Source organism: Homo sapiens, chromosome 19 (genome assembly GCF_000001405.40).
Source record: "Homo sapiens chromosome 19, GRCh38.p14 Primary Assembly".
NCBI classification, from domain to species: Eukaryota; Metazoa; Chordata; class Mammalia; order Primates; family Hominidae; genus Homo; species Homo sapiens.
The window spans coordinates 22,124,854-22,143,691 of NC_000019.10; the positions used below are offsets into that span (position 1 = coordinate 22,124,854).

The following is an 18,838-nucleotide window of genomic DNA, read 5'->3' on the forward strand; positions in this document are numbered from 1 at the left end:
AATCTTATACCTGTATCTATATGTATTAAAAAAGCCCCCAAGAAAAAAATAGGTCAGGACTCAACAAAAAATGGTATACAGAAGGCAGAATTAGATCACAGCTTCCACTCAGACACACAGAGCAGCGTGTTGAGACTCGCATCATGAACTTTTCCTCCAGAACTACTGCAGAAATATACCAGAAAAGCCAAGAAAATCCACAAACCCTCTGAAAAAAGCAGATGCTCCTGCAGGGCCTGGGAGACTGCCCAAATGCTGTGAATGCCCAAGCTGTGAAAGTAAGAAAGGGGGATTGTTTGCCACCAAACACACACTTTCACTGAAAAACCTGAAGGTCTAGATCACAGAAAAAGAATTTGACCTTACCTGGAGCCGAATCAATTTAGAGAGCTGAGCAAAATGCAGGAGTAGAAGCAGCAGCCAGAAAAGACCTGTGGGCTCTCTAGGTCCTCCAGAAAACCCAGTTCTGATCTATTTTACAGGGGTCATTGGGGAGGGATGCCAGAGGCACTGGGAAAAGGCCACAGGAAGAAGAAAACCTCCAGCTGAACTTTGTAACAATTCCAACTGGACACGAAGTCTCCTGGCCAGAACATGGGAAGGGTGTGAGTCCGGTGTGCACACATGACAGGCGGTAAGGTGTGAAAGTCCTGCTTACTTTCTCAGTTGGAAGGCTGGGAGCCTGTGGCAAGTTCTCAGCCCTACTTACCCACTGCCTGGAAACAGACTTGGTGCTGTTGGAGGTGGCACGGTGAGAGTAAGACAGACCTTTTGGGTTGTACGGAAGCTGGGTGAGGCCTGTAACTGCTGGCTTTCCCCCATTTCTCTGACTGACAACCTGAATGACACAGCAGAGGCAGCCATAATCCTCCTGGGAACATAACTTTGTTGACCTGAAAACCACACCCCCACTCCCCATAGCAGCCACAGCAAGCCCTGCCCAAGGAGAGTCTGAGCTCAGATATGCCTAACCCTGCCCCCACCTGATGGTCCTTCCCTACCCACCTTGGTAGCTGAAGACAAAGAGGGTATCCTCTTGGGAGTTATGGGGCCCTGCCCACTGCCTGATCCTCCTTTTATTACCACAGCTGATGCTGTTTTGAAAGCACCACCTTTTGTCAGGAGCACAAAAATAGTACATTAAACAACCAAAATTAAGAAACATCACAGAGTCCATTTTACTCCCCTGCCACCTCCACTGAAGCAGGTGCTGGTATCCATGGCTGAGAGACCTGCAGATGGTTCACATCAAAGGACTCTATGCAGACAAGCCCCAGTACCAGCCCTCAGCCTGGTAGTTCTTCTAAGTTGCTAGATCCAGAAAAGAAATAACAATCACTACAGTTCAGCTCTAAGAAAGCCACATCCCTAGGAAAAGTGGCAGAGTACTACATCAAGGCAACACCCTGTGGGACAAAAAAATCTGAACAGCAGTCTTGAGCCCCAGGTCTTGCCTCTGATATTGCCTACCAAAATGAGAAGACACCAGAAAAACAACTCTGGTAATAGGAGAAAACGAAGTTCTTTAACACCCTCCAAAAGTTACACTAGCTCACCAGGAATGAATTCAAACCAGGAAGAAATCCCTGATTTACGTGAAAAGGAATTCAGAAGGTTGATTATTAAGTTAATCAAGGAGGCACCAGAGAAATGCGAAGTCCAATTTTAAAAAATTTGAAAAGATACAAGAAATGAGGGGAGAAATCTTCAGTGAAATAGATAGCATACAAAAAACAAATCACGACTTCGGGAAATAAAGGACACACTTAGAGAAATGCAAAATGTCCTGAAAAGTCTCAGCAATAAAATTAAACAAGCAGAACAAAGAACTTCAGAGCTCGAAGACAATGTTTTCAAATCAACCCAATCCAACAAAAACAAAGAAAAGATAATTTTAAAATAATAAAGCCTCCAAGAAGTTTGGGATTATGTTAAACAACCAAATCTGAGAATAACTGGCTTTCCTGGAGAAGAAGAGAAATTTAAAAGTTTGGAAAATATTTTTGGTGTAATGATCAAGGAAAACTTTCTCAGCCTTGCTAGAGACCTAGATGTCAAAATACGAGAAGCTCAAAGAACATCTGGGAAATTAATCACGATAGATCATTGCCTAGGCAAATTGAGGTTTTTAGTTTTCTAGTAAATTAGCCATTAAAATAATTTGTTTTGTTCTAATATTGTTGTATTCTTCTGAAAACAGGTACAAACCCATAGTTATACAAACACACTTACTGCATGTTTTTACACCTCATGTTTGTCTTCAGAGTAATATATGTATATATTTAATCCTACTTAAATCAAAACTAAAAATCTGTAAATTTTTGCAGGCAGAGTGTCCACATGTTCAAAGAAAAATATGTAACAAGTTTTTAAAAATATTTAGGTCTCAGATATGTATGGATTTTATGTATACTTGTATATAATTTTTATTATGACCGTAAAATGACCCTGTAGTCAATAACAATTTAATTGTACATTTTAAAATAACTAGAAGTGTAGAATTGAATTGTTTCTAACTTAAAGAATAAATGCTGCCTGGCGCAGTGACTCGCGCCTGTAATCCCAGCACTTTGGGAGGCCGAGGCAGGCGGATCATGAGGTCAGGAGATCCAGGCCATCCTGGCTAACATGGTGAAACCCCGTCTCTACTAAAAATACAAAAAATTAGCCAGGAGTGGTGGCAGGCGCCTCTAGTCCCAGCTACTTGGGAGGCTGAGACAGGAGAATGGCATGAACCTGGGAGGCGGAGCTTGCCGTCAGCTGAGATTGCGCCACTGCACTCCAGTCTGGGTGACAGAGCGAGACTCTGTCTCAAAAAAAGGAAAAAAAAAAAAAAAAAGAATAAATGCTGGAGGTGATAATCCCTCACTTACCCTGATGTAATTATTTCATATTGTATGCCTGTATCAAAATATGCCATATATGGCATAAATATATACATACACTATATGCCCACAAAATTTTTTAAAAAATTTAAATAAGAAAAAAAATAAAAACTTAACCTATGAGAACAATAGTCTCTCACTTATTTGCAGATTAAAGCCACTGAAAAAATAGATTACTAGAGATGTTATTCCACTATGTTACTAAATAATATACTGTTACCATGTTTTACCTACACCCTTGAGTAAGGTGGGATAGGTTAAAGTTAGTGGCATAATAACACTTCATTGAGTGCACAATAAAATTAACATGTTAAAAAATGTTACAAAATTAAGTTCACATATAATCTAAAAATTTTTAATATACCATATTTTATTACATATAAGCACAATTATAATGATATACTACTAATTTTATTTTTAATTTTAACTAAAATTTAAAAATGTTTTTCTCTCACTATAATGCACAAGAATATTACTTAGAAACCTACCTCATACACTACTTAATATTATAAGTCAACCACAAAAAGCCTCTTCACTTAGATTTTCATCATGCATCTTATATTTTAATATCCTTATTCTTTTATGGAAAAGTTCATAAATAATGCCCACTTAATAAAAATAATCTCTCATATATCTGATGCAGCAATTGATCACATGCTTTCACATGTGAATACAATAGAAACAAAGAGCAGAAAATAATTTGAGAGTTCAATTGCATCATTATTTGCTTTTCAAAAAGTCTGTATTTTTTCAATAAAAAGTATACTTCCCATGTAATTATAACTCTACAAAAAATCTACTCCTTTTAAAGTTATATACAAAAAACTTATCTAACAATTTTAGTTTGGAATTATTTTCTATACTCAACACTCTGATTTAGTGTAATGTCTGACATTTCAGTGCCTTATTATTACTACTGTATATTCTCTGGTACTGACATAGACTTAATTTTGGATAAAATACTCTATATTTACTGTATTTACAAAAAAAATCTTAGTATACACTCTGATGTTTTCTAAGCTGTAGTTTTTTAAAAAATGGTTTTCCAAATTCATTAAATTTGCAGGGTATTTCTACAGTATAAATTTCCTGGTGTTGAATAAAGTTTGAGCAACTGCCGTAGGGTTTTCCTCTAGCACAAAATGTATACAACAAGATCTGTAATAGAATTAAAGGCACTAAAACCCTTTTTATATTTGTAATGTTCGTTCATGTTCAAAATTAATACACTTTTTTTTTTTTTGAGGCAGAGTTTCGCTCTTGTTGCCAAGGCTGGAGTGCAGTGGCGTGATCTTGGCTCACCGCAACCTCCACCTCCTGGGTTCAAGCGATTGTACTGCTTCAGCCTCGCAAGTAGCTAGGATTACAGGCATGCACCACCATGCCCGGCTAAGTTTTGTATTTTTAGTAGAGACAGGCTTTCTCCATGTTAGTCAGGCTGGTCTCGAACTCCCAAGCTCAGGTGATCTGCCCGCCTCGGCCTCCCAAAGCACTGGGATTATAGGCATGAGCCACCGCACCCAGCCCAAAATAAATACTATTAAAGGTTTATATATTCTGATAGATCTTTTGACAGTAATTGCATTGTTAATGCTTTAAGTATGAACTCCGTGATGTTGAGTAAGATGTGAGCAGATATGAATGGCTTTTCCACATTTTTTATATTAGTATAATTTTTCTCAAGAATAAATGCTTTCCTGTGCAATAAGATGTGAGCACTGAGCCAGGCACGGTGGCTCACGCCTGTAATCCCAGCACTTTGGGAGGCTGAGGCGGGCAGATCACCTGAGGTCAGGAGTTTGAGACCAGCCTGACCAACTTGGAGAAACCCCATCTCTATTAAAAATACAAAATTAGCTGGGTGTGCTGGTGCATGCCTTTAGTCCCAGCTACTCAGGAGGCTGAGGCAGGAGAATCGCTTGAACCCAGGAAGCACAAGTTGCAGCGAGCCAAGATCACACCATTGCACTCCAGCCTGGGCAACAAGAGCGAAACTCTATCTCCAAAAAACAAACAAACAAACAAACAAAAAGATGTGAGCATTGGTTAAACTTTTTGTCGTATTCTCCATACTTGAAGAAGTTTTCTCCAGTATAAATTATCTTACAATCAAGTGTGACAAGAATTTAAAGGCTTTGTCACATTACTCACACTTCTACTGTTTCTTACTAGTATTTCTTTTATTTTTAGAAGTTTGAGGTGTTTTCAAAAACATTGTCACATCTTTCAGATTTGTAGAGTTTCTCTCCAGTATGGTTTGAGAACTTATTAAAAGCTTTGCCATATTCTTCACATTTCTAGAATTTCTCTCCAATATGATGTATCCTATGTGTAATAAGGGTTCAAAAGTTAAAGCCTTTTTCACATTCTTCGTATTCTTAGGCTTTATCTTCTGTATAAATTCTCTGATGTTCAGTAAGAGTTGAAGACCAATTAAAGACTTTGTTACATTTTTTCACATTTATAGGGTTTGTCTCCAGTATGAATTATTTTACGTTCAATAAGGTTTGAGGACTGATTAAAAGCATTGCCACATTCTTCACATTTGTAGGGTTTTCTCCAGTATAAATTTTATTATGTCTAGACTACAGAGCTCATGGTCAGATTAACCCATATATGAGCTCTCCCTGCCACATAAAGATGATCTTTACTGAAAAGGAACAAATTGTTCCTCAACTGAAAAAGGACATTACCCACAAAAAAAAGGTGTCCCAGAAGAAACTGAAGAAACACAAACTTATGGCCTGTGAGTAAATTCAGCATTAAAATAAATGCAATTAAAAAAAGAATAACAACAAAAATATTTAAAATATCAATAAACCCTAGAAATTATGGAGGTAAAAATACAAAGTGAAATAACTGAAAATTTTTAAAAGTAATAAAATGTGATGTAAAAATGAAGAAGCTCAACAAACAAACTAGGATGCACACAAAGATATTTCTTTCTTTTTTTTTTTTGAGACCCAGTTTTGCCCTTATTTTCCAGGCTGGAGTGCAGTGGTGCAATCTTGGCTCACCACAACGTCCGCCTCCTGGGTTAAAGCGATTCTCCTGCCTCAGCCTTCTTGAGTAGCTGGGATTACAGGCATGCACCACCACACCCGGCTAATTTTTATATATTTTTTTTAGCAGAGACGAGGTTTCTCCAGGTTGGTCAGCTGGTTTCAAACTCCCGACCTCAGATGATCAGCCCGCCTCACCTCCCAACGTGCTGGGATTACAGGTGTGACCCACTGCACCTGGCCACACAAAGATATTTCTAACAAACATATATATATAGGCACAATTTTTAAAGTCACAGACAATTAGAGAATCTTGAGAGCTTCAAGGCAAAAGTGATGTGTCATTTAAAAGCATAGTCTAATGAGATAACCAGTAAATTTGTCGACAAAATTTTGCAGGTTAGGAGGAAACTGTGTGATGTAGTCAAAGTCCTAAAGAAAATAGTTGTCAAGTGAGAATAATGCTATCAGCAAAACTGTCCTAACAAATAAAAAGAAAAAGACCTTGCAAAGTAACCAAATTCGGAAAAAGTATATTGGCATTTCATATGCCCTACATATTAAAGATGCTGAAATGAGTTCCTTCCACTGAAAAGAACATGATGAAGGAGAACAACACATAATTTTATAAAAATACATAACTTTCTAAAAAACTTACACACATACACAAAACAGAATTCCTTAGCATTATCAAAATGGTGGAAAAAGCACTTTTAGTGTCTAAAATTTGAAACATAAAAGCATAGAAATTATGGTAAACACCTGTTAATGAATATGCAACATAAAAAGATAATTAGCAACATTAATAACAAGGTTTAGGGCACATGTAATGAGGAAGAAATTTTACAGGCAACTAAAGTTAATTTTTTACCAGATTAAAATATATTGTTGTATCTTTTAAAGGTTTTATGTAATCTCCAAAGTACCATAGAAAAAACCTGTATAGACTACAGCCTGTAGCTGGTACTACAGGCACATGCCACCCGCCCGGCTAATTTTTTTTTTTTTTCTGTATTTTTAGTAGAGACACGGTTTCACCATGTTAGCCAGGAAGGTCTCAATCTCCTGACCTCGTGATCCACCCACCTTGGCCTCCCAAAGTTCTGGGATTACAGATGTAAGCCACTGTGCCCTGCCAACAATAATACAATAATAGATTTATGCACTGGGAACCTATGACAAATTTGTACATAAGTTTGTGTGTGTGTGTATCTCATATTAGGGTTCTGAATATATAAAGCAAATATTGAAAGAATTGAAGAAACACATAGAGAGCAACATAATTATAGTGAGATATTTCTATACCTTGTGTTCAATAATAAAAATAAGACAAAGCAGAATATTAGTAAGGGAACATTAGATTTGCAGGCAGTATAAAACAATGATTCCTAAGAAAGGTATAGAGAATACTCCTCAACAGCATAGGACACACACCCTTTGCAGTAGCTCATAACATTCTCTTTGATAGATCACCAGTTAGGTCAAAAAAGAAGTCTTAACACATTTTTAAAACTAAAATTGTGTGGATTACTTCTTATAACCAAAATTGAATAAGAATATATAAACAACAGAAGAAACCTGAAAAATTCACAAATATCTACAAATTAAACAATACACTCTTGAGCATGCTCTTGGTGAAAAGTTGAAATAATTAATATTGTGAAGATGTTTATACTGCCCAATGTAATCTACAGATTTAATGCAATGTTTTTAAAATTTCTCATTGCATTTTTAAAGAGACAAAAACAGCAAATGCAAAAGTATATGAAATTGCAAGAGACAATAATGTACCAAAAAATATTTTTAAAAAAACAAATCGGAGGCATTACAGTTCCTGATTTCAAAAAACATTATAAAGCTAAAGAATTAAAACAATTTGAATGAGTGTAAAGGTAAAAAAAAGTAGACTAATAAAATAAAATGCAACACATACATAAATTTTCACATATATGGTAATCTGAACAGTTATTTGCATACCCATAGTTATTGAAGCATTGTTATTGTAAGCCAATAGGCAAAAGCAATGCAAATTTCTGTCACCAAATCATTCAGTAGAGACAATTAGAAAGATAAATACATTGAAAATTCACTCAGTTTTCAAAAATAAGGAAATATTCTAACAAATATAAACAAATATAACAGATCTCTGTGACTATGTCTAGTTAGTTCTCAGGACCAGTTAAAAGCTTTGTTTTTTATAACAAATCTCTGGCCCAGCACCCAGGTGATGTGACTCTCGTGCTTGCTACCTACACAAATGTGGATTTGTTACATATATACTGTCCCATCTCACAAGTAATATGATGACTTTCATATCTTGAACCAGCCAGTTGCTGAGATACTGTCTCCCAAGGCTAGGCTTAGGGATATGGGTGTGATCGTGGGTCTCCTATTTTTCTGCAGGTCAGAGGGGATTACCACACTCTCACATATGGTATAAAGCCATTGAATTGTACACAATGTGTCACCACAGAGCCCAGCCTACAGGTGAAGTTGACTTGCACATATGCACAACCCATCAACCATTAAAATTGTAACCCTCACAGATGGATAGACCTCACTTGTGAATCTTACACATGGATGCAGTTCACAGTTGGATTTGTGACTGTCATATGTGAGCATCTGGCCAGATTTGTGATGGCGAAACATCTTTAAATGCAGCTTATAAGAAGATGAGGGCTCTCCTATCTGGACCCAGAACATTGGAGAGATGTTGCCTCTCCTACCTAGGTTTAGGGACACAGATACAATCATAGGTTCATACCAGCAAGAAAGTCTCAGACTAGATTGTGACTCTCATTCAAACTGTATAAAGCCCTAGACCCAACACCTAGGTAATGTGAGTCTTCTCTTTTACCTGGGCCTCTCATATTTTGAGTATTGTGACATATTGCTAGGCCCAACACCTAGGGTATGGGAGGCTCTTGCCTAAAACTTACTCACAGAAAGCCTTGTGACATATCTCTGCATACATTACCTAGGAGATGACTTTCTCCTGCTTGCACCCTACCCATAGGAGAAATTGTGACATATTACTAGGAGCAGCACCCAGGTGATGTGACTTTCCTGCCTGGTCTCTGTCCTCAGGGAATGTTGAGAAATATCTCTAGATCCAAACCCACATGATGTGACTCTCCTGCATGCTTCCTATCCACAGGTGGAATTGTGACATATGTCTTTACTCAGGTAACAGATGTGATGATGACCCTCATTCCTCAAACCTGCCAATAAGAGAAATACTGTCTTTTGTAGGTAGACTTAGAAAAATGGGTAAGATCCTTGGGTCTCCTCTTTGTACAAAGATCATGGAGGCTTATCACTCTATTGCATGTACCATAAAGCACTCAGCTTGTACTGAGAGTGTCACCACAGAGAACAGCACACAATTGAGGTTGTGCTTTACATATTTACACTGTGGCAGTCATTAAGATCATCACCCTCACACATAGACCGAGCCCACTGAGGAGGTCCTGAATCCCAAATGCAGACACAATCTACAGTTGCAATTGTGACAGAACATTCAGCCTCTGTTAAGATAGTGATTCATTCCTAAACCCAAATCATAGGTAGGTAAAGACTGTTCTATCTGGAACCCACCAATAGGAGAGATGTTGACCCTCATACCTGGGCTTAAAGCCACAGGTAAAAATCACAAATCCATACTAGTATGAAGGTTTCAGAATAGATTGTGACTCTCGTGCATACCACATAATACCCTTGTGTGGTACAGAGAGTGTCCTAACAGGGCCCAGGAGTCAGATGAGATTGTAATACGTGTGTGCACATCCAGCTGATAGTAAAAATTGTCATCCTCCCACATGAACACAGCCCTCTTTTGAAGTTCTTAATTTCATACCCTGTGGCAGTGGAAAGTTGGAAAATTGACTATCATCCATGGATCCAATCCACAAGTGGGTTGGTTAATCTCAGACATTCAGCACACAGGTGAGGCTGTGAATCCTCAAAGAGGACACAGTTTGCAGGAGGGATTGAGGCTGTCATGTATGGACCCACTCTCTCATTGAGATTGCGTGACTCCTGTTTTTAGAGCCAACATACAGGAGGTGTTGACTCTCGTAAATAAAACCTAGACATGTTCAAGATTGTCAATCACATCCCTGGACCTTCCTAGGTGTGATTGTGACATAAGCCTCTGCCCGGGACCTTAATAATTTGACTCTCTTGCTTGGGGTCAGACAACAGATAAAAACATGACACATCCATGGACCCAGCACCTAGGTGATGTGACTTTATTCTTTTGCTGTGGCTCCACCCATAGAGAGCATTTTCACATATCAAAGTGCTCTGTAGACAGGTTATGTGACTCTTTTGCCTGTGTCCAGACAACATTGGCCACTGTGACATATTGCAGGGTCCAACACCCAAAGGAAGTAACTCTTATGACTGGGTTCTATCTACAGAGGGCACTGTTACATATTTCTGTGCTCATCACTCAGTTGATGTGACTCTCCTCTTCTGCCTGGGCCATGCCTTCAGGAGAGTGGGAGATAGGGAGAGTGACTTATTGCTAGGCCCAGAACACAGGTGATGTAATACTTCTTCCTGGTCTCTTTCCACAGGAGTTACTATGATATATCATTAGGCCCATTACCTAGATGATGTGATACTCCTGTTTTTTTCTGCAACTTGTGCACAGTGTGGATTGTGAACTTGGCTTAGCACCTACATGGTGTGACTCTCTTCTCATGACTAGGTCTTATCACTGGGTTGGTTGTGACATAGAGCTGGGCCCAGTCACTAGGTTATGTGACTCTCCTCTTTTTCCTGAGCCCTACCCACAAGAGGACATATTTCTGGGCCATTCATCTTGGTGATGTGAATCTACTTCCTGGGACCTCCCCTCAAGGGATATTATGAAATATTGCTGGACCCAGCACCTAGTGATATGACTCTCTGCTTTTGCGTGGGCACTGCATACATGTGTAATATATAGCTAGGTTAAACACCTGGGTGATGTGACTTTCCTGCATAAGCTCTGTTCACAGGAATGTTATCACATATCATTTTGTTCATCACCTAGGTGATGCGACTCTACTCTTTTCCTGAGCCCTGCAAAAAGGAGAGATTGTGACATATCACTGAACTGAGCACCTTGGTGATGTGACTATCCTCTCTTGCTCAAGTGTCACATATTATTGGTATTGTGACATACCTCTGTGACCAACACCTATGGGTAGGAAAACTTCCACCCAGACTCAGCCCAAGGGGCCCTCATCACTTTTTTAAAAGATATGTGACTTGAAAAATGTGACTGTCTTCTGCTTATACCCTGCCCTCAGGGAAGATTGTGGCATATTACTGAACTAAGCAACCTAGTGATGTGTCTCTTCTGACTGGGGTTTGCCCACAGAGACAATTGTGACATATCACTGGGCCCTAGGTGATGTGACTCTGCTGCCTGTTCCCAACATTCAAGAGAGGATTGTAAATCTTCCTGGCCAAGAATTCAGGAGATTTGACTCTCCTTTCTTGTCCCTGCCCTCAAAGAAGATTATGACGTATCTTCAGCCCCAAACCCAGGTAATGTGACTTCCCTGTTTACTCTCTCTTCAGGGGAGAAATTATTACATATATCCTGGCCCAGCTCACAGGTGTGATGACAGTTCTCATACCTCAAACAAGTCAGTAGAAGCGATACTGTTTCTTATAGCTAGGCTTAGGAAAACTTATAAAATACCTGTGTCTCCTCTTTATATGACGGTCATAGAGAACTACCATGCACTTGTATATGGTATAAAGCTCTTGAGTGGTACAGAGAGTGTTCACATGTCCCAAAACAAAAGGGATATTGTGTTTCTTGTATACACACCCAGACACCTGTTAGGATTGTCACCCTAACACCTGGAAACAGCCCATTGGTGAGGTCTTGTGTCTCACATGCAGATGCAATCCACAGTTTGATTCCTGACTGTCAAATGTAAACACCTGTCCAAAGTTGGGATGGTGACTCATTTCTAGACCCAGCTCATAGACAAGTGAGGACTCTTCTGTCTGGGCCCAATTAATTTGAGAAATATTAACTTTTCTACCTGGGCCTAGGGAGCAGCATAAAGGTCTCAGGGAAAATTGTGACTCTCATTCCTAGTCTACGATGATCTTGGGTAGTATTAAATGTCCTAACGGGGTTCAGCGCACAGGTGAGATTGTGACAGTGATATCCACACCCAACTGACAGTAAAACTTGCCATCTTTCCTCATGGATACAGCCCACTGTTGAGGTGTTGAATCTCATAACCAAAGGCAGTTGAAAATTAAAACATTGTCTCTCATTGGTAGACCCAGTCCACAGGGGGGTTGGTGACTCTCAGACCAAAATTCAGCACAGTTATGAGGCCATCACTCCACTAAGAAAACGGAATTCATAGAAAAAATTGAGACGCTCATGCACAAATCCAGCCCACCACTGAGATTGTGACTCATTTGCTTAGACCCAAAATATAGGAAGCGTTGACTCTTATACCTAGAATTGGGACATGTGTAAGATTGTTCATCTTTTCCTCAGACTTTCCTGCAGGAGTGATGCTGACATGTTCCTCTATTTGGCATCTGAGTGATATGACTCTTGCCATGGTCTAGCCCACAGATGGAATTGTGATGGGTTGCTCTACCCAGCACCTAGGTGATGTGACTCCATTTTTCTGCCTCGGCACTGTCCACAAAAGGTATTTTGACATATCTCTGGGGTATATACCCAGGTTACATGACTCTCCTGCCTGTGCCCTTTTCACATATTATCATAAAATATTGCTGGGTCCAACACCCAGGTGATGTAACTCTCATGCCTAGGACCTGCCAACAGGGGGAATTGTGACAAATCTCTGTGCCAATAACCCAGGTTATGTGACTCTCTTTTTTTGCCTGGTCCCTGCTCACAGGGGGCATTATGACATATTGCTGAACTCAGCACCTAACTGATGTGATTCTCCTTTCTAGTTTTTGTCCACAGGGGAGATTGTGACATATCACTGGGCCTCAAACTAAGGTGACGTTACACTTTCATTTTTGAACTGTACTCAGAAGGCATTGTGATATATTCCTGGGAACAGCACCAAGGTTATGTGAGTCTCCTGCCTGCACTTTGCCCACAAAGGGCATTGTAACATATATTTAGACCTATCAACTATTCGATGTGACTTCTTTTCTTAACGTGTAAGCAAGTTGCCCCAACCATGGAGGGGGTCGCGGTGGTGACGGCGGGCAGCGTAAGCGCTGCCAAAGCCGAGGGAGCTGCAGCCTTGCCGCCTCCGCCTCCTGTCTCCCCGCCCGCCCTCACCCTCGCACCCGCAGCGGGTGAGGAGGGACCGGCGCCTCTGTCTGAGACTGGGGCTCCCGGCTGCTCCGGCTCCCGGCCCCCTGAGCTGGAGCCAGAGCGCAGCCTGGGCCGCTTCAGAGGCCGCTTCGAGGATAAGGACGAGCAGTTGGAAGAAGAAGAGGAGCTAGAGGAGGAAGAAGAGGAGGAGGAGGAGGAGGACATGAGTCACTTCTCGTTGAGGCTGGAGGGAGGCCGGCAAGACTCGGAGGACGAGGAGGAGCGCCTGATTAATCTCTCTGAGCTGACCCCATATATCTTGTGTTCCATTTGCAAAGGTTACTTAATAGATGCAACTACCATCACAGAATATCTTTATACCTTTTGTAAAAGCTGCGTCGTAAGACATTTTTACTACAGCAACAGATGTCCAAAATGCAATATAGCAGTACATCAGACACAACCTCTTTATAAGGTTGGACCGACAGTTACAAGACATAGTGTACAAATTAGTGATCAATCTAGAGGAAAGAGAAAAAAAGCAAATGCATGATTTCTATCAAGAAAGAGGTCTAGAAGTACCTAAACCTGCTGTTCCACAGCCAGTCCCTTCAAGCAAAGGAAGATCTAAAAAAATCCGAGAATCAGTGTTTCCTATTCCACCTGAACTTGATATGTCTTTATTACTGGAGTTCATTGGTGCTAATGAAGGCACGGGACATTTTAAGCCATTGGAAAAGAAGTTTGTTCGAGTTTCAGGAGAAGCAACTATTGGACATGTAGAAAAATTCTTCAGAAGAAAAATGGGTCTTGATCCAGCTTGTCAGGTAGATATCATCTGTGGTGATCACCTGTTGGAGCAGTATCAAACTCTAAGGGAAATCCGACGTGCAATAGGTGATGCAGCAATGCAGGATGGTCTGCTTGTCCTTCATTATGGTCTTGTAGTTTCTCCTCTGAAGATAACTTGAAGATTCTAGGCACATTATGAGGAGGGAAACAAAGGAGGCTTCTGCAGGACTGCATCTCACCAAAGATTTCCATGAAATGTAATTGCTACCACTTTGCTGTTCAAGACATAACTTACCTATTTTTAGCACCAAGAATTATAGCATTTATAAGTACAACTTGGAACGATGGAATGCATCTGTTACTAGAGACTGTATATAAAAAGCAGCGAAAGCTCAGGGGAAATTTTTCAAAAATTGAATTTTAAAATTTCTTATGATTTTAAATACCTTGACATTGATTTTGCTTCCCATCTTTGAAGTAATTGGTTAGTTTTCTTTGTTCAGCCATTTCAAGTTGGTGGTTGGGATATCTGCTCTCTGGGATGGCATCAGTTGGGCAGTCATCCTTTTGGAAGAGAAGTGTGCTTTTGAATGGAAGATCCAAAGCCAGTCTTTGTTAAACTGCAGGGCGTACTCTCAAAGACCAAAACTATTGGCCACTTTTGTATGTTGCCAGCATATTTTGAACTTGTATCTTTTTTTATACTAGCAACACTACAAAGGAGAAGTTACTCATTTCAAAATGGATGAATTGTTATTATGTGTGAAGAGACTCTGAGTTTATGGTCTGTGCCATAAACTTTCAGTGTAATAAGACTTCTTCAATACATCTTCCAATAAGGGGTGCTTCTTTGTGACAGTATTTTTATTTCTGACATTCATTTTATTTGGGTACATAGTGTGGTTGTTGATACCTTGCAAAAGTATTGCTTCTGAAAGTAATAAAAAATTTTAGGAGAATTTGAGAAGTTTACAGAATTACTTATTCATTGTTTTCTTGGTAAGTCAGTTTAATGTTTATTTTTCTCATTATTTCATCACTGGAATAAAGAATAAGGGTGTTTGAGCTCACCTCCATGCAAAGACTTCAGTTTTAAAACATTATTTTGCCTAAAATTAGCATTGTGATGCTCTCTAAAAGAAATATTTTATAAACCCTGTTCACAGCAGAATTTCTGAATCTGTATAGAGACTACTACAAAATTGGACAAAGATTGGCAATTCTTTGTAAAGAATTTGTGAACTGTGTATAAATTTATTCTAACATTTAATAAAAATGTATTTAAACCTAAAAAAAGAAAAGAAAAGAAAAACTGAAAACTCGATTGGGTCAGATATGTCATTTCTATTCTATACTTTTTTTCTGGAAGTAGTTCCTTCCTCTCCTGATGCAGAGGGAGGCTGGCTGGGGGATCCTGGGCCCCTCTGTCCTCCCCGCGGTGGCAGTGGCTGATCTCTGCTCAGGTGTGAGGGGTGTGGCCATGTGCTGGGCTTGAGCCTGCCCGGCCCAGCCCCTCCTCACTTCCCTGGACTCTTCACGGTGTCCACAGGCCCTTACACAATCTTGAGCATCCCTCTGATGGAAGGGGAGGTGGCAGCAGAAAGCCAGTGGGAGAAACTGGCCCCACAGGTCAAGGAGGGCTTGCCCAGCTGTGGGAAATGCTTTGGTTGACCTCGGATTTCTGTGCGCCAAGCTGAGCCCCAATCCTGGCTTTGAGTCCAGGTGTCCTCGGGCTGGGCGACCTTGGCCGTGGGCGCTCTGGCTGCTGCGGTGGTTCCTGCTGTGCTCGGCTGGATCACAACTGGAACTGGTGCCCTCCAGAAGTGAAGGAGGTGCCCCGCAGGTGGGAGGAGGCAGTAGCCATGGTCCCTGTAAACCAGGCCTTGCTGACAAATCTCAGATGCCAAGAACAGAAGAACGGAGAGCTTCTGCCAAATGAACAAACTGTTGGAGCGACTGAGTGTGAAGCTGCCCAAACTCCTCAAAGTGGAGCAGTGAAGCAAACACCAGAGAAGGACAAGAAAAATGAAAGTCAAAGAAAATGAGCAGAAACCAAAGGCAGATGCTAATGCAGTGCAAAGCAGTTCACACCATGATAGAAAGAGTTGATGAGTCTCGGAAACTAATCTTAGTGACAGAGTGAAAGGACAGCAGTGAACATGGTAAGGTGCTGACGATTCTGGTCCACTGGATCCCACCATCCCTAGGACAGTAAATACCATCACAGTCACCACACAGCGAGTTACAACTGCACCATTTCCTGTTTATTCCTAAATGAATAAAGGTGATTCTCATCACAAGTGCAAATAAAAAGTTATTTATCTTTTTTTTAAACTAAAGTGTCTTGCTTTAGCTTTTTTTTTTTTTTTTAGTTCTTATAATTTTGAAAATGAAGTTGACATTTGTATGGCTTATGAAATTTTCAATAGTCTTGCATTAGTTGAATTGTTCAAAGTAAATATATTTTAAACTAAGAAGAGTAAACTGTGTGTATTTGTTTTACATAGTAAAGGCTGAAAGTAACAAATATTATCTGTTTATGATTTGAAAATTTCAAAGTTTGATTATTTATCCATACATACACAGAATAGTGTATCGTGCTGAAACATTTGTGTTTTAAAGTGGCAGCCATAGTTCCTGCCTGTCTGGATATATTTTGGACTTTTGTATGTTAAATACAACGTAAAAAGACTTTATTGTGCTTTAGAAAATCTAAGGTTGGTATACACAAACAAACTTTACAAATTACTGTAGGGTTCAGCAAACTGTGTTTATAATGTGACATTAATACCTCTACATTTTGATGTGTAAATCTTTCTTGAGAAAAGATTGTTTTTTAAAAAAATGGCTACAAATTCAGGCTTCAGTTATAAAATGACAAAATAGTAAAGAAATGAGTGGTTTGCCATACTATATGAATACTGGCATTCAATTAAAATACCAAATATGTTAATGAAAAACTTTTAGACAATAGATTTAAATAATTTCTTGATATTTTACTACAGTAATAAATATTCACAAATATTTTATAAGTCATATCTATTAGTACTAGGTTTTACTTAATAGTAGTATATATATAAGATCAAAAATCTGTTAAAAATAGATATGCTTATCAATAATTTGGTGTTTCTAAATACCCAGAAGTCTTGTTTTAATCAGATTAGCTCTGGGGATAGTTTACTAATTTCATTTTATATATGGTGTGTTCAAAGTTTTGTAGTTAAACCTAATATTGATTGATGATGGGTAAACAAATCTTTTTTTGCTAATTCCATAGGTTTATTAAATTGTTGAAGATGTTGTTAATTAAAAAATTCCAACTTTCAATGTTGTTTACAGGGATTTAGGTCTAGTTTAATCTGCTCAACCTGTTAATCAGTGTCAGGTGCCGGATTCCAATTTATTTTCAGTGCGTTTGTATGACTTTTGTTTTTTTTTCTTTCTTTTTTTCAGACAGAGTCTCGCACTCTCATCTGGGCTGGAATGCAATGGTGCAATCTTGGCTCACTGCAACCTCCACCTCCTGGGTTCATGCAATTCTCCTGCCTCAGGCTCCCCAGTAGCTGGGATTACAGGTGCACACCACCACACCCAGCTAATTTTTTGTATTTTTAGTAGAGATGGGGTTTCACTATGTTGGCCAGACTGGTCTCAAAATCCTGACCTTGTGATCTACCCCCTTCAGCCTCCCAAAGTGCTGGGATTACAGGTGTGAACCACCACACCTGGCCAACTTTTCTTTCTTTAGTCTTTGAATAAAACGTCTATTAACAAAGACAAATTTCTACACATTTATCAAGTTCCTTTTAGTAACTCAAAAGGTAATATATCCAAAATTCTCATGTTATTGTCTGAGAAAACAGATTCTACTGTTACCAAAAAATCAACTGGAAGGCATTTTTATAACCTTGCACCACATAAGAAAAAAACTGTAATGCAGTAGTAATAAGTGAAGATACATCAAATGAAAAATGGTAATTGAGAAAGTCACTTTCAATGTTTGAGTATTTGGACTTTTTGTTTAAAAAAATTGTAGTAAAATAGAGCTTTTGGTAAGCTTTCTATAGATTAACATTATCATAAATTAGGAAAAAAACCTTTAAATTGTAAATAAACAAACAAAAAAACAACAACAAAAAACAACAACAAAAAACTAAGATCCAGGACTGCATACATATTGATCCTTATTTTGGGAGATTATGAAACAGACCATTGCATGAACTTTATATAGATACCTTGCCACATGGGCATACTAATAAAAATCATTATATTTAATTTGAATGAACATGTCCACATCTTAAAAATACTGCTTTGTACTATGAATGATAAATGTAAAAGTTTTTATACACAAGAGGATCCTGATTCTTAACTGAACATATATGGCAACCCATTTCTATGTTTCTTCTGAACTGAAGCCTGATTAAGGCTTAAATGTGGAATGAGAGGGACTCAATAACAGGACATGTGGAACAAAAACAAAAAAATGAGATAGGTTGGTCATTTCTAAGTTCAAATTATTAAATAAAATATTAAATTCTTGTCCTAAGTTTTTTTCTTTCAAAAACAAACTTGAAAACTGTTCTAATCCAGTTTTCTTTCATGAAGGGCCTACTCATTGTGTGGAACTGAAAGGAGGTCCTAGGGCTACTGAAGGTTCCTGGCTGAGTCTATACCTCAATGTTACCTAAAAGCCCTTGGACTAACTCCAGTCCTCAACAGCCAATGAGGGTGTTGGCACAAGAACTTCCAGTCTTTTTTTATTTCATTTCATTTCATTTCATTTCTCTTGTTCTTGTTCTTTTTTTTTTTTTCATGGCTATCATTTCTCCTATCCGTTCTTTGTATGCAAAGTTGTGAATGTTTTTACAGCCTATGGATATAATCGTGCT

General features: G+C 39.1%; 3 pseudogenes, besides 1 other annotated feature; 2 read left to right on the forward strand and 1 right to left on the reverse strand.

Annotated features, from left to right (window-relative positions):
- On the reverse strand, positions 4,912-5,469 carry ZNF92P2 (zinc finger protein 92 pseudogene 2; annotated as a pseudogene).
- PCGF7P (polycomb group ring finger 7 pseudogene) lies at positions 13,071-15,239 on the forward strand (annotated as a pseudogene).
- Positions 15,177-15,677: an enhancer, noted in NCBI's record as "H3K4me1 hESC enhancer chr19:22322832-22323332 (GRCh37/hg19 assembly coordinates)". NCBI's record gives its function as "activates a minimal SCP1, AML or CMV promoter by ChIP-STARR-seq in primed H9 embryonic stem cells {active_cell/tissue: H9 hESC(primed)}" and the evidence as "EXISTENCE:reporter gene assay evidence [ECO:0000049][PMID:30033119]".
- On the forward strand, positions 15,543-16,264 carry MTDHP5 (metadherin pseudogene 5; annotated as a pseudogene).